Raw genomic sequence first — 15,757 nt, forward strand, 5'->3', positions numbered from 1 at the left:
AAGATAAGATATGAAAGGCATTTTCTCTATCAAAACATCAAATGGAATCTTAGAAACTGTTTAAGTTTCCAGAATTTATTTCATATATAAAATTAAACTCAAAGGATTATATAAAGAATGATCAAAAACTCGTGGGGGGGAATGATAGTCTAAAATGCAGATGTTTTCATATTCCAGAATGAGTATAGCTACAAATACACTTTTTAAAGACAATAGTTTAAAATTTCTATAGCAGGAATGAAGAACAAATTATATCAGAAAATTATTTTCCACAACTGTCAGGTACCAATTTTCTAGCAACCAGAAAGGAGGTACAGAATTATCTCCATAGTAACTGCTATTAAATTATTCTAGCATAATATTGCTAACAAAAGATGTATATCAGGCAGGGGATATGGCCTGTCCTACAATTTGTTTCTCTGAGACACTGACCTAACACTTCTCACATGTAATCTGGGAAAGAATAGAGCACAGTTTGCTGTGATGGCTGCCTGGAGAGAGAAAATAATTCTGACTTACAATCACCCCAGCTTCTCCTGGGAAATGTCCCATCTAACTCCATTTTTCAGCATGATATACATGACCCAAAATACAGTGATGAGTGCCAGCTGGGATTTTCATGCCTTTGAATTTGGGAAATTATTTTTATTGCTAAAAATTTTGTTATTATCTTTCACATTAATTTTGGCCATTATATATAAGATGTTTTGATTTTTTTGTTCCCTGTCTGCATGAAAGCAGAAACATTACAGGCCTCTTTTTCTGTTTTCCACAAAAGAAATAATTTTGAAGGAAATTACAAAAATGAATAGTCAAGTACTGCAGGCTGGGAGTAATTATCCATCCCATGTACCCTGGTTGGTCGCCTGTGCTCACCAGATACAGACTAAAGAATCTCTCACTGTGGTGCTTGGGCATTACCATAGCACCAACTGTCATGGCCTCCCTCCTGGTCTCTCTGCTTTCATTCTTGCTCAATGCAACTTATTCTCCACTCAACAGCCAGAGTGAGTTTTTAAAACAAGTTTTATCCAAAACACTTGAAGAAAATATTCCAGGTGTTTAACAGGTGAATGTTTACACAAATGTGGTACATATGCTGGATGTTTCCAAAAAGGAAGCTAATTCTGCTACTCTAGCCATCGACCATTGGACCAGGGACAGGAGCATGAACAAAAAGACTTCACACATGGATTGGACATGAAGGAACCAGACCCGCAGTGGCTTTGTGTGAAAATCTGACCAATGTTAGTTAGCACTCAATTTTTAAGTAGTATCAAATGTTCAGAGACTGTTTGTCAGAAAATAAACTCAATAAAAAATGAAAACAACAATGTGGGTAATTATGAGATGTTACTAATGATATCATAATATCTTTCCTGGTTTACTTTAAGGCCTTTATATAATCCATTCTTGAGAGCACTTGAATCTAGATTTCCTGATAAAATGACTTACTTTTATAGCCTATAGTTTAAAATATTTTAAAATAATTCCTCTCCTATTATTAAATATTTTCTATAAGTGTCTTCCTTGACAAGCTTCTCAGATATCTTACATAAATACATATTTCTAGGACTACCAAGATGCTCAATTTCAGCACCCCTTTTTGGTTTCCATATTTTATTAAGAAGCCTTGACTATATCTTCATTCTTTTTCTGGTATTTTCCTGATTCAAAGACCAACTCTCCTAGTACATGCACTCTATCTCTCCGTTCTAACATAGATAAACACAACTATTATTGTAAAAGTCAATGATCTCTTTAGTGAAGTTACCCAACTCTGTTCTTGGTAATTTGGGTGTGTGTGTGAATCATGCATCCTCAGATACCTTGCCATAAATGTGAGCATGTGATATCAGCAGGCTGATGAAGAGCACACTATACCTAACCCCTTCGTCAACACAGTCTTGTTAACAATGACATTAGAGTCATTTTGTGGACTAGACTTAATGGACATAAAAATTTTACCAAATGATTTGTTTAGGACATAAGAAATTATTCCAGAATCATTAGTCTAAGAAAACCGTTTGGAATGTGGAGCTAAGAGATGCAAGAAACAAAGTTGATGAGATCACCTGAGCCACCAAACCTGTTCCTGAAGTTAAATCCACACTTTGCCAAATCTAGATGCCCTCTTCTGTGACTCCTCAATCCAATCAATCAATCAATCACAGCCACAAAATGGTGCCATTGTAACACATTCTGAAATGTGTCTTGACTCTGTTGTCTGCCCTTTCTCCACACTTCACTTGTTTGTTCTGGCTTCCTTTATCTCTCACCTGTTTCTTGAAATAGCCACTAATTTCCAGTCTCTCTTCTCCCTGTATCAGGCATGTCCTCCATACTATCACCAGCCATTCCTCTGTATCACAAAATATGACTAAGTGTTGGTCTATCTAAAAGAGATCTAGGGCTTCCACTGCCCATTGCAGTGATTTCTAATGACTGGGATTTTTATTTGAGCTATGGAGGGAACAGACTTACATTTCCTTTTTATCTTTGATCCATTTTACCAAAAAAGAGTAAATTGGTCTGGGAAGGGGCTCTGAATTCTGATTTTTAAAAGCATACAGGTGATTTTGATATAGGTTTCCTTCAAATGACTCCTTAGAAAACTATGACTATGGCCTTTTAGAAGAAACATTCTGCCTCCTGTAACTTAACTACTGACTCATAATTCTCCACTGGCTTGTCAATTCTGTTAACTAAACACAGCATTCCATCTAACTCTGAAAGCCCAGTTCATGTGAATTGTGGACTTTCTGAACTAAAGACTTTACCACACATATTTTTCTTGTCTTTGTGTTTGAATCTCTGCCAGATATTTTGTGTAATGTTTCAAAATGGCACTCATGCACAATTGGGTCTGGAAAGGTGAGTTATATATTACTTTACACAGAAAAGTGAATATAAATTTGTAACTCCTTTCTTTGAAATAATTACTTAATATGTGCTAAATTTATTTTAGGTACTAAATTTAAATTCATATATGATGCTTTTATAATTCATATTTGAGATTTTTGGTGAATATTTGCATATTTACATATTTAAAAATATTTCATATTTTAATATTTTAATGTTATTAAATATATTTTTAAATATCCCATCTTTGAAACATATTGTATCCTGTTATATATGTGTCATAATATGGTTTAACTAAAAGCAATATAATCTGATGTGAAAGCATTAATCAGAGAAATGAAGGAAAATTGGAAGATTTTACTAAGAAATAAGCATAATTTCACAGCTAAAATGAGTTGACAGATATAAGCAAAAAGATGAAACTCAGTGAATTAAAGAGGTTAAAATAGAGATCGAATAATCTGTCGAACAGATGAGTTTTCATATATGAATAAAATAAGGAAAGTTAGAGGAAGGAAATGGATAAGAGAAATATCTGCATGACAGTACCATCTATAGATAACAAAATATGAGCTATTACTACCATGAAAGATCGGTGTTTAAAATCTTGAGTTTCTCTTCCATGAGTTGTATGCTAATTTCAGCCTCTTAGATGAGGACAGAAAATGAAGCTGGAGCAGGGAATGGCACCTCGCCAGGGGATATACTGCTCCTACTATGCTTCATTTCTTTCTTACTGGCTGCATTAGTTTTTAGCTTTTTCACTTCTATGACTCCCCATATTGTTTGCAGAATTGCACTGATCTACATATGACCGTAAGGTTTTTAATTAACCTACTGTGAATTCAAACTTCAGCTCCGTATTTGTTTGTTACTTGGGTAATCTTGACCAAGTCATGGCATCTTCCTAAGAAGGTACCCTTGTATGTAAAATAGGTATGTTAATAGTACCCTACTTACAAATGCATTGTGGGGATTAAATCAGTTCATGTATGTAAACATACATAAACCTGGGCCTTCTGTGGGTTAACCATTCTATCAATATTGACTGTTATTATTACCATCATTAGCAGTGACTTGGTTAGAATGCTTTTTGAATTAGTTATCTTGATAAGCCTTTAATTCCTAAAGACTCTTACACCTAAATTTCAGAGTGTTAGAGTTTCTTTAGTTCTTATAATACTCTACTTCTTCACCAGGTTTATCATGTCAGAAAATGTCTTTGTCTTTTCCTCGTTTTCCCCAGTTCTCCTATTTTATCACGCTTTTTGTTTTTCCTGGCCTTGATGTTGGGGACAGTCATTATTCAGCCAAATATGAATATGGTAGAGTTTAAGTCTTTTTTTTTTTTTTTTGAGATGAAATCTCGCTCTTGTCCCCCAGGCTGGAATGCAGTGACTCGATCTCAGCTCACTACAACTCCCGCCTCCCGGGTTCAAGCGATTCTCCTGCCTCAGCCTCCCAAGTAGCTGGGATTACAGGCGCTTGCCACCACGCCCAGCTGATTTTTCTACTTTTAGTAGAGACGGGGTTTCACCATGTTGGCCAGGCTGGTCTCGAACTCCTGACCTCAGGTGATCCACCTGCCTCAGCCTCCCAAAGTGCTGGGATTACAGGAGTGAACCACCATGCCTGGCCGAGTTTAACACTTAAAATAACGGATATTCTCTATTATCTACAGTCTAAGATTGATGAGTATATTATTAGCTTCCAGGAGTATCTGCCAATAAGCAGCAGTGCCTAGGACTCATGGCTGAAACACTGCTGTGATGGTCAGACATTTTTGAAAAGCTTCAGCTAACTGGCTAAAGAACACAGCTGCTGAGCTCAGACAAGAGAGGAAATAACTTCATTTTGCTGAGACTTCAAGATGTGATTTCATGTGTTCTGTGTGGGGTTGAATAGGAACAGCAGATAAAGGCTTTGGGAGTGTTTCAAGTTCTGTCCTTCCCTAAACTCTTCTAATAGCAAGCAAAACCTTGTTTTCTGTGGACAGCTTCACTTTTTAAAGGACTATTTATTCCCACAAAGACTCCTATATTTACAGGCTCCTCATGATTGCCACCAGCCTAGAAAAGTAGTTGTTCTTTGAACTGGCAAGGCTGACTTTTTGACCACTTCCTCTATGTCCTTCTTTAGACTCCTGTCCTTGCACTTCATTAGATTAGGCCAGGGGAAAATAGACCCCCAGCTCCACACAACTTCTCACAGTCTGATACCTGAGGTCAAGATGGTGTCTCTTGTGGGATACCTCAGTGACCCAACCTAGGAAAGAGAGCCCATTGGGACTTTGTCCATTTCCTCAAGATACTTAATGATGCAACTCTGTGAAGATGAAGGAGAAACAAGCTGAAATATTCCAAATATCAAAGAGAGCACATTTTATGGTATGGAGTAAAAATCAATTTAATTCCACTATTTTCTAATTTAGATTGCGCCATTTATCTCTGTCCTTACTTAAGCTGCGATTTAACATAGATTTAAAATTCCTTATTAAAATATGCTTCTAAGAAGCAGCCAGATGGACATAAATTGACTTTGAGGAGATACCCCTTTGCTTTACTTTTGCTTATTGAAGCCGCACACTTGGCAGACAAGATCCCATGTTAACAATTGCACCTCCCCCAGCGCTTGTGCCTTGAAAAAGAGATGGTAACAGTATTTGAAACCAACCAAGAATATCAAATGTGGCAGGGCAATGCATGAATAAACTATTAGAGTATAAAATATTTAGCTTGCATGTTGCCAAGGTGTATGAAAAAGCTGGGGTGGGATGTACGAACCATTTCCTGAAGTTCAGTCCTGCACCACATCCCAGAAGATAGATTATAGGCTCCAGAGCTGAACTATGGTGCTAATCATTTCAACTCAGCTTTTTGCTCTTTTACTGTATAATAGTAAAATTTAAAAAGTGTGAAGATTTATAGACAAAAATTCAGGGTTTTATTGTTGTGCAAATACCCAAAGAATCAGAGCCAGAAAATATTGTTTGAATGACTATTAAGTCATTGTAACAATTATTAAACTTCCTGCACTATGCTGAGGACATTGGGATATCCAGATATTTTTCGAAGAGTGTAAAATTTATATGAGAGTATAAGATTAATCTGAGAAAAAATCAGGAATCAGAAGAGGGTGCAAAAAGACATTAGAGGCTTAAATATAAAAGATATTTGGAGAGGTTGCCTATCAAAATTCTACCAAGCCAGGTAAATAAAGTGATCTCATCTAAAGTCTATGCATATGAAGATGCCTACATTTTCATGAAAGGTGTACATTAAAATGTCAAGTAGTTATAGCAAATGTTATCCCAGATCCCATCATCAATATACTTTAATGCAAATTTCAAAGGGACCTCTGGAAAAGTAGCAATGACTGTTCATTTCTAGCTAGTAAGGGTGAGCATATGCTGTGCTTAGTATTAGATCTATTTGTGTTACGTGGGAGCATCTCCAGAAACTCTAACTATCCAACAAGAAAGTGTATATCCTATGCTTTCATTTCTCTGCACATTTGCCTGTGTGAGACACTCACCAGGAAGGCTTTCATCATTTCCCACTATCTATGAAAACCTTTCTTGTTCTTCAATGTTCACTTCAAATTCTACTTATTAGGAAACTTTCTCAAATGTTAGAACTCTCCATCGTTCATTTAGATTTCCTGTGTTTCGCTTGCCTCCTCAAGCGAATCATATGTGTTTGAAGAGAAAAGGCTATGCGTGGCAGAGATAATGCTAAATGCTAAGTGTTCCCCAAATCTTCTCATTTACCTCCAGGAGACACATGAAAATGACATTCCAGCCTTTTGTCGCTATGTAGGGAAAAATGACTAATTTTGATTAGTGGAATGTGGGGAAAACAATTTTCAAATGTGGCTTGTAAAAATTCCACATCTTTATTTTCTTTCTCTAAAAGAGAAAGAAATGGGATTGTACTCCCATGTTTAGAGCAGTAATATTCAGAGTAGCCAAAGATGGAATCAACTTGTTTGTGAATGGATGACTAAAGAAAATTTGGTACATATACACAATGAAATACCATTCAGCCACAAAAAGAATGAAATCCTGTCGTTTGCAGAAACATGTATGGAAACAGAGGTCATTATGTTAAATGAAATATGCAAGGCCAAACAGACAAGTAACTTATGGTCTCTCTTATATATAGGAGCAAAGAAACATGGATCTCATGGAGATAAAGAGTAGATTGTTGGTTACCAGAGGCTGAGAAGGATAGAGGAAAGGAAAAGATAAATAGAAATTGATTAATGAGTACAAAAATACTCAGTTAGACACAAGAAATGAGGTCTAGTATTTGATAGTTCAGTAGGGAGACTATAGTTAATAATTTATTGTATATTTCAAAATAACTAAGAATTTGAATATTCCTAACATAAAGAAGAGTGTTTGAGGTAATGGATATTCTGATTACCCTGATTGGATCATTACACATTGCATGCATATATAAAACATAACATGATCCCCAACATATGTACAACTATAATGCGCTAATTTAAAACATGGAAAAAATCCTCCCATGTCCTGTTTTCTGCCTATTATCATAGCAATAGAAGCTCTGTGATGAGGAAGGGCAGTGACACAGGCTAGAAAGAGCCTGAATCCCTTAGTAACTTAATGGAGACGTGATTCCCAGAAGAAGTACCCAATAAGTAACTTTTTTTTTTAAGGTGGCATCTCACTCTGTCACCCAGGTGGAGTGCACTGATGCGATCTCGGATACCTGCAAACTCCACCTACCAGGTTCAAGTAATTTTTCTGCCTCAGCTTCCCAAGTAGCTGGGGCTACAGGCATGCACCACCATGCCTGGCTAATTTTTGTATTTTTTTTTTTAGTACAGGTGGGGTTTCACCATGTTTGCCAGGCTGGTCTTGAACTCCTTACCTCAGGTAATCTGCCTGCCTCGGCCTCCCAAAGTGCTGGGACACAAGCCACCATGCCCAGCCCCTATCAGTAACTTCTACATAGGATTTTGAATGAGTGAACATTTAACTCCTAGTGTGTAAAGGTACTGATTTTTTTTTTTTGTATTTTATGAGAGTTGGCATTAATTACTCTTAATATCTAGATATCACAAGACTTATATAGGTTTACACTAGACTTATATAGGTTTACACTAGACTTTTTGATGTTCAAAGAAAGAATTTCTATTGCAAATTAGAATAGTTTTAAGAAACTTCAGGGAAGTCAAGAAACAAAATAGCATAAAGTATGAGTTATACTGCTGTATCGCAAGAAGAAATGACATCTCAGGGGGTTTAGATTATGACAAAAAAAATGGTAAAGAAATTTAATGACATTCTGTTTAGGAAAAAAACTATTCAAGCTGTATTTTTCCTCTGCTCTTACACCGACCCAAAAACAAGCAACACAGAAGACTTCTGTGACCCCAAAATATGTGGTGTTTTTTTTTTCCCATAGCAAGCAATCAATTCTGTAGTGGAAACCATCTGGGTATACCCCAATCCAATTCTGTTGTTGTCTAGCTGGGGTCAGTGTTAGACCCCACAGGTTGAGGACTCAGTCCCCATGAATACCTCCCCCAACATCAGATACTATTAACAAGTATGGACCTCTGGAACTTCTGCCTGACTGACGTCAAATCGGGGTTTCCATGCTACCTGCTTTGGGTTTGATTAATTTGCTGGAGCAGCTCACAGAACTCAAGGAATCACTTACTTACATTTACCAGTTTATTATAAAGGATACAGATGAAGAGATGCATAGAGCAAGGTAAGGGAAAGGGGCATGAAACTTCCATGCCTTCCCCAGCTGCCCCACCCTGTAGGGATCTCCATGTGTTCAGTTGTTCAAAATCTCTCTGAACCCCGTCCTCTTGGGTTTTTATTAAAGCTTCATTATGTAGGCATGATTGATTAAACCATTGGCTATCAGAGATCCACTTGACCTTCAGCCCCTCTCCACTTTCTGGCAGTTGGGACATGCAGCTGAAAGTCCAACTCTGTAATCTTGCATTTGTTTTTCTGGTGACCAGTCTGCGCTAAAACTATCAGTCAACATTAGCAGAAAAAAAGACAACATTTTGGATTCCAAGGATTTTAGGAGTTGTATGCCAGGAAATGAAACCAGGAAGGAAGACCAAATGTATACTCTACAATACCACACATACCATTAAAGATGTTATTAAAGAAAGTAGATATTTTTAGACTACATATTGAAAGATTAGTGAAAAATTAGGGAGAAGATGTAGCAGGTCTCTATAAATCAATCTGTCAAAATACTTCAATTTATCTTTTTTGACCCCTTCTACTAGGTGGAGCTAATAGTGGGAGTCAAAAGGAGCTAAGACTAAGGAGTCATAAGGAGTCATAGGAGATTGCTTTTGGTTTGATATAAGCCATTTGTTCAGTAACCAAAATTGTCCAGATGAAAGATGAGCATCCTACTCCAGGGGGAGTGAGTTTTCCATATCGAAATCATTCAAGCACAAGCTAAGCATTAAATTATAATGGACATTTTAGAGGGATTTAAGATCAACTAAATGCTACTACTATTACTACCATTTCCAAAGCTGTCTAGTGGGGAATGTAACAATATCCAACAGGACTTCAGAGAGAACACGACAGAAAACTCTACCAGAACTTCAATCTTCAACTTTTATATGCCACAACTAGCCTTGGCCTTTTTCTACAGACCCTCTGAGAAGTTGTATCACCCATTTGTGGTAATGACAGAAATCTTTCTTGATGCATGACTATAGGAGGGAAAAAATATTTCTCCTAGGAAGTTATAAATTACTGATCTGAGGAAAGCCCTGGGAGAAAGTAAAATTTTTCCTATGTATTATAAACTACTCTTTAGAAAAATCATTTCCCCCCTCAATGCTTTCAAACTTCACAATTGTTATGGTGAGTCCAGTACTACGATACTCTTACATAACGCCTCCTCTGTGGGCCACTCAAAGCCATTTGTAAATGATACTGGAAACTCATTCTCTTTTTCTGAATGAAGTTCCTTACTTCTAAGGCACTTTGAATCCACCCACCGAATAACCAGTGCTCAGAATTAAGTACAATCGCCTATCCTATTCATTGCCACCTGGTTATTTTCCATTTTTCATCACTTACAAATTCTGACAAATTATGCATTGCACAATTGTCTCTACATTTCAAGTTTCAAGACTGATCTTTCTCTGTTAGAGAAAGAAAGTATCATAGTCTGAGAGAGCACAGATCTCCCTGTTCCTTTCTTACAAACAAGGTCTTATTTCTATTCTTGAGTCCTTTTCCTACTTGAATTTTGGATTCTTCCTGCTCACAAAGGATAGATCCTTTTTCAAAAACTGTGATGTTGCTCTGTTTCAATGTTTAAACTTTTAGCTAATTTTATTTCTTTTCATTTCTCTTGTTACTTATAAGAAAAGAAACTTCTGACTCTTACTTGAAGTGGCTTATTCTGAAAGAGCAATTCATTTTGTATTTTTGGAGCCCAACTCTATGAATGTTATATTTAGATAGCATAGGCTCATCTAAGCATATCAGCCTACAATGTCTTAACGACTCCTGCTGCTTCTTTCAGTTCTGGCTAATCACATTTAGAATGAACTAAGGAACACAGGAGAAAAGTTTAAATCTTTGTACTTGGACTACAAAATATATATTTCTGAGAAAAGGCACTGCTTGATACTTTTATAAATCTTCTTAAATACACTGAATTGGAAAAAAAGCTATAAGATCAGTAAAAAGAACACTGAATTTATTGATTATTCATGAGCTATGTATACATTTATGTTGCTTACTCTCCCTACTCTTGCACTGTTAGTTTGAACTCTTTTGTCTTTGTTGAAATCAAGGAGGCTACTGAAAGATAATGAATTTAAATTTCAAGGTATTTTTCATTATCTAAAAAAGAAAAAAAAGTCTTTCTTCACCTACTAATTATCATATTTCACAGTATATTACAGAAGTTCCATATAATATATTTATGTATTTTTTCTACTGTGGGCATCAGCCATTTTATGATTCTGGCCTTAAAACAGAGTATAGTAATGTCATTATTAGAATGGATAAGAATATCTGTCACTGACTGTAACATTGGAAAACTACTTAGCATTTACAAATCTTAATCTCCATATTTGTAAATTTAAAATAGTGATACAATTCCCATGAAGATTAAATAAGATTATACAAGTGTTAGTTTTGTTGCTACTTGAAACTCAGAATTTGTGTTTTCTATAGGCAAGTAATGGGAGTCATCAAAGGATGGTACTCAAAGGGGTGACATGGTGAGAGAGTTCCCTATAGAAATTGATCTGGCAGCAAGGACAAAGTTAAAATAAGAAGTCAGAAGTTGAGAAGTGTGGTGATCATGTATCTAGAGAGAGTTAAGTGGGAATAAAACTGCAGATATAAATCTGAAAGAAAATGATGAGGTAAGATATATCAAAATCTGCAATTGATGGGATATAGGGATCTCAAAAATTTAAATTTGAAGTGTTAACAAGTGCTACAACTTTTTTCTTTGTTTAAATATATATATTTATATTTGTAGAGACAGTCTTGGTTTGTTGTCCAGGCTGGTCTCGAATTCCTGGCCTCAAGTGATCTTCCTGCCTTTGCTTCCTAAAGTATTGGGATTACATGAGCCACTACACCCAGCCAGTGCTATGATTTGAATATGGTTTGTCTTTACCATAACTCATGTGGCAACTTTAATTTTTAGTGCAGCAATTCTAGAAGGTACAACCTTTAAGAAGTGAGGCTAGATTATTCAGGGTTCTCCAGAGGGACAAAACCAATAGGATATATGTATATGTGAAAGGGAGTTTATTAGGGAGAACTGGCTCACACAATTATAAGATGAAGTCCCACGATAGTACGTCTGCAAGTCAGGGAAGAGAGAAGCTGGTACTCGCTCAGTTTGACCCTGAAAGGCTCAAAACCAGGGAAGCTGACAGTGCAGCCTTCAGTGTGTGGCCAAAGGCCTGAGAACCCTCAGCAAGGCACTGGTACAAGTCCAAGACTCCAAAGGCTGAAGAATTTGGAGTCTGATGTCCAAAGGCAGGAAGAGAGGGTGGAAGCATTCAGCATGGAAAAAGGAAAGAAGCCAGAAGACTCAGCAGGCAAGGTTATCCCACCTTCTTCCACCTGCTTTGTTCTAGCTGTGCTGGCAGCCAATTGGATGGTGCCCATCCACACTGAGGGTGGGTCTTCCTCTCCTAGTCTACCAATTGAAATGTCAGTCTCCTCTGGTAACACCCTCACAGACACACCCAGAACAATGCTTCATCTATCATCTAGGCATCTCTCAATCCAATCAAGTTGACACTTAATATTAACCATCACAGAGGCCTAATGGGAAATATTTGGGCCATAAGGGCTCTGATCTCATGGGTGGCTTGGGACCTTTTTTGTAATAGTGAGTGAGTTCCTGCTCTGGTGACACTCTATCAGTTCTCATAGGAATGGATTAATTTCCAGGAGAATGGTTCATTAAAAAGCCAAGGATGCCTCTTTGGTTTAGCCTCTTCATACATGTCTGCTTTTCCTTTGACCTTCTGACATGTTGTGATGTAGCACAAAAGTCTTTAGTGGAAGCCAAGAAAATGCTGGTGGCATTCTTCTTGAACTTTCCAGCCTGAGAAACTGTGGAGTAAATAAAGCTATTTTTTAAAAAATTACCCAGCCTCAGGCATTCTTTTATAGCAATACAAAACAGACTAAGACAGAAAAATGGTACCAAGAAGTTGGGTGTTTCTTTGTAGATACCTGAAAATGTGGAAGTGGCTTTGGAACTGAGCAATGGGCAGAAGTTAGAAGAGTTTGGAAGACCAGGGGAGAAAAAACTTGTACTGCAATGAAGGAAGCATTAAATGTGATTGTGATGAAGGCTCAGAATAAGACAAAAATGTTACTGAAATGCCAGAGGTTCAGTCTAGGTTTTGTTGCTAGATGCACAGAAAGCTGATCACTGAGACAATCAGTATGGCCAGGGAAGAAAGGGGATGAGTAATGTCGGCTGGGGAGACAGGACATAAATTTCAAATCTATCTCCCCAACCATCTAAAATTGTGGGTTAATGTAGTGGGGGAGAAATACAACTATGTGTGGGAAAACAGGAATTAGAGAGGAGTAAGGAAGCAATCATAACAAATGAGGGATCTGGTGTTTCATTTTCTGGATGTGGTAATCTGGTAAGCTTCAGTTTCTTGATACTGTGAGGCCTGAGGTTCAGTTTCCTGAGAAAGGAAATCAGGTAAGTCCAATGCAAGTTTCCAGTTTTAAAACTGGGAAGGTCAATTTCTGTACTTATTCAAACACAACCATAAACATCAGTTCTATAGGGAAACTGGGTTGGTTTCAAAAAGATGAGAAAAAGATTGGAACTTCTAAGAGATTTGTTGAGTGTTCACGACCAAAATTCTGACTGAAATATCAACAGTAAAGGTCATTCTGAAGAGGTCTCAGAGGAGAATGGGAAGCAAGATATTGGGACCTGGAATGAAGGCCACCCTTTTTATAAAGTAGTTCAAAGCTTGGTGGAACTGTATCTATGCTCCAGGGCTTTATGGAAGTCAAAACATATGCGTGAACTAGTATATCTGGCAGAAGAAATTTCTAAGCAGCAAAGTGCTCAAGAAGCAATGTGGTTACTTTTAATAGGTCATGCCCAGTTATAGGAGCAAAGGAATTGCTAAAGGCAGAATTTGTAATTAAAAGAAAAGTGAAGCATAAAATTTGGAGAATTCGTAGCATGGCCATGTGATAGAGAATGAGAAATGATTTTTCAGGAGAGGAATTCAAGAGTATAGCTGAGAGACTCTTTGCTAAAATGATTAGCATAGCTAAGACAGAGGCAAGTGCTAACGGTCAGAACAATGGGGAAAAGGCTCCTAAGGTGTTTCAAAGATTTTCAAGGCCACCCTTCCTACCACAAACCCTGAGGCCTAGGACTAGAGAATGTTTTCTTGTTTTGTTTTGTTTATTTTTTTGAGACAGAGTCTCGCTCTGTTGCCCAGGCTGGAGTGCAGTGGCAGGATCTTGGCTCACTGCAAGCTCTGCCTCCTTGATTCACCCCATTCTCCCGCCTCAGCCTCCCGAGTACCTGGGACTACAGGTGCCCACCACCATGTCCGGCTACTTTTTTGTATTTTTAGTAGAGACGGGGTTTCACCGTGTTAGCCACGATGGTCTCGATCTCCTGACCTCATGATCCACCCGCCTCGGCCTCCCAAAGTGCTGGGATTACAGGTGTGAGCCACCATGCCCAGCCGGACTACAGAATGGTTTTAAGAAAGAGGACTAGGACACAGCTGCTCCCTTATCTGGCAGTTGCTTCTAGAGCAGCCATGGTTCAAATGACCCCATTTGCAACTCACGTTGATAATCCAGAGATTGCCAGTGGTAAGCATTGGTGGCTGCCACATGGTATTAAGTCCGAAGGCCTGAGAATGCAAAAGCTAGGTAGGCCTGACTTTCTCCACCAAGATTTTAAAGGATGTATGGAAAAGCCTGCAACCCTGGCAGAGACTTGTTCAGGAGTAGTGCCAACGGAGAAAGTCATCTCAAGGGCAATACCTAGTAAAGCTGCAGTGGCAAGGTCACTACTGAGACCCAAGAACAGCCTGAAAAAGCCACAGGCAACCAACTCCAACTTGTGAGAATAGTCACATGGGTTGCATCCAACAAAGCCATGGGGCAGGGATTCCTTGGGAGACCACCCCTAGCAACAGCGTGCCCAGATGCAGGACATGAAGTCAAAGGAGATTATTTTGGAGCTTTAAGATTTAATGTCAGCCCTGCTGCATTTTTGACTTCTGTGGAGTATGGCTTTCCTTTCTTTTGCCTTATTTCTCCCTTTTGGGAAGAAAGTGTTTACCAAATTCTGTTCCACAATTATATCTTAGAAATATATCATTTGTTTTGACTTTAACTGAAAGGAACTTGCTTTGAGTATAAGATGAGATTTTGACTTTTTGACTTTTGTGTTTTGAGTTGGTTTTTTTTTTTGAGTTGTTTTTGTCTTTTGAGTTGGTTTTGTCTTTTGAGTTAAGACTTTGGAACTATTGGTATGGAATTATTATATTTTGTATGTGAAAAGCACATGTGTTTTGAGGGCACGGGGAATAATGCTAAGGTTTAAATGTGATTTTTTCCCCATCAAAACTCATTTTGAAAGCTTAATTCCCAGGGCAGCAATGTTGAGAGGTGGAAACTTTAAGAAGTGTGACTGGACCGGGTGCGGTGGCTCACGCCTGTAATCCCAGCACATTGGGAAGCCGAGGTGGGTGGATCACAAGGTCAGGAGATCAAGACCATCCTGGCTAACATGATGAAACCCCATCTCTGCTTAAAAAAAAAAAAAAATTAGCCAGACATGGTGGTGGGCACCTGTAGCCCCAGCTACTCAGGAGGCTGAGGCAGGAGAATGGCATGAACCTGGGAGACGGAGCTTGCAGTGAGCCGAGAATGTGCCACTGCACTCCAGCCTGGGCAACAGAGCGAGACTCCATCTCAAAAAAAAAAAAAGGAAGTGCGACCTAATGAGAGGTGTTTGGGTCATGAGGGCTCTGACCTCTTGGGTGGCTTGATGCTATTCCTACAGTAGTGAGTTTCTGCTCTGGTGAAACTGCATTGACTCTCACAGGAATGGACTAGTTCCTGAGAGAGTGGGTTATCATAAAGCCACACACACCTTGGGTTTAGCCTCTTCACACATATCTCCTTTTCCTTTGATCTTCTGCCATGTTGTGACACAGCATGAAAGCCCTCACCAGAATCTGAGAAGATGCCGGTGCCATGTTCTTGAATGTTCCAGACTGCAAAACTGTGAGCTAAATAAGCCTTTTTTCTTTATAAATTGTCAGTCTCAGATATTCTGTTATAGTAACACAAACCAGACAGAAAGTTGGTCATTTTCAA

The 15,757-nt window shown here is 38.2% G+C and overlaps 1 long non-coding RNA gene across 1 annotated transcript in view, besides 2 other annotated features; it reads left to right on the forward strand.

Moving 5' to 3' along the window:
• LINC02661 (long intergenic non-protein coding RNA 2661) overlaps nt 1-15,757 on the forward strand; it is a 132,148-nt gene that overhangs the window by 91,065 nt on the left and 25,326 nt on the right. The gene's annotated exons all lie outside the window — the stretch shown is intronic.
• Nucleotides 10,280-10,449: an enhancer, noted in NCBI's record as "experimental_9792 CRE fragment used in MPRA reporter constructs". NCBI's record gives its function as "activates a minimal promoter by MPRAs in K562 erythroleukemia cells, with activity observed for both the introgressed and non-introgressed 10:110569726 or rs117608798 variant alleles {active_cell/tissue: K562}" and the evidence as "EXISTENCE:reporter gene assay evidence [ECO:0000049][PMID:34662402]".
• Nucleotide 10,365: a transcriptional cis regulatory region, noted in NCBI's record as "Neanderthal adaptively introgressed variant 10:110569726 (GRCh37/hg19 assembly coordinates) or rs117608798 in the experimental_9792 CRE". NCBI's record gives its function as "modulates activity of the experimental_9792 enhancer by MPRAs in K562 erythroleukemia cells {active_cell/tissue: K562}" and the evidence as "EXISTENCE:reporter gene assay evidence [ECO:0000049][PMID:34662402]".

This window comes from Homo sapiens, chromosome 10 (genome assembly GCF_000001405.40).
Source record: "Homo sapiens chromosome 10, GRCh38.p14 Primary Assembly".
Lineage (NCBI taxonomy): Eukaryota > Metazoa > Chordata > Mammalia > Primates > Hominidae > Homo > Homo sapiens.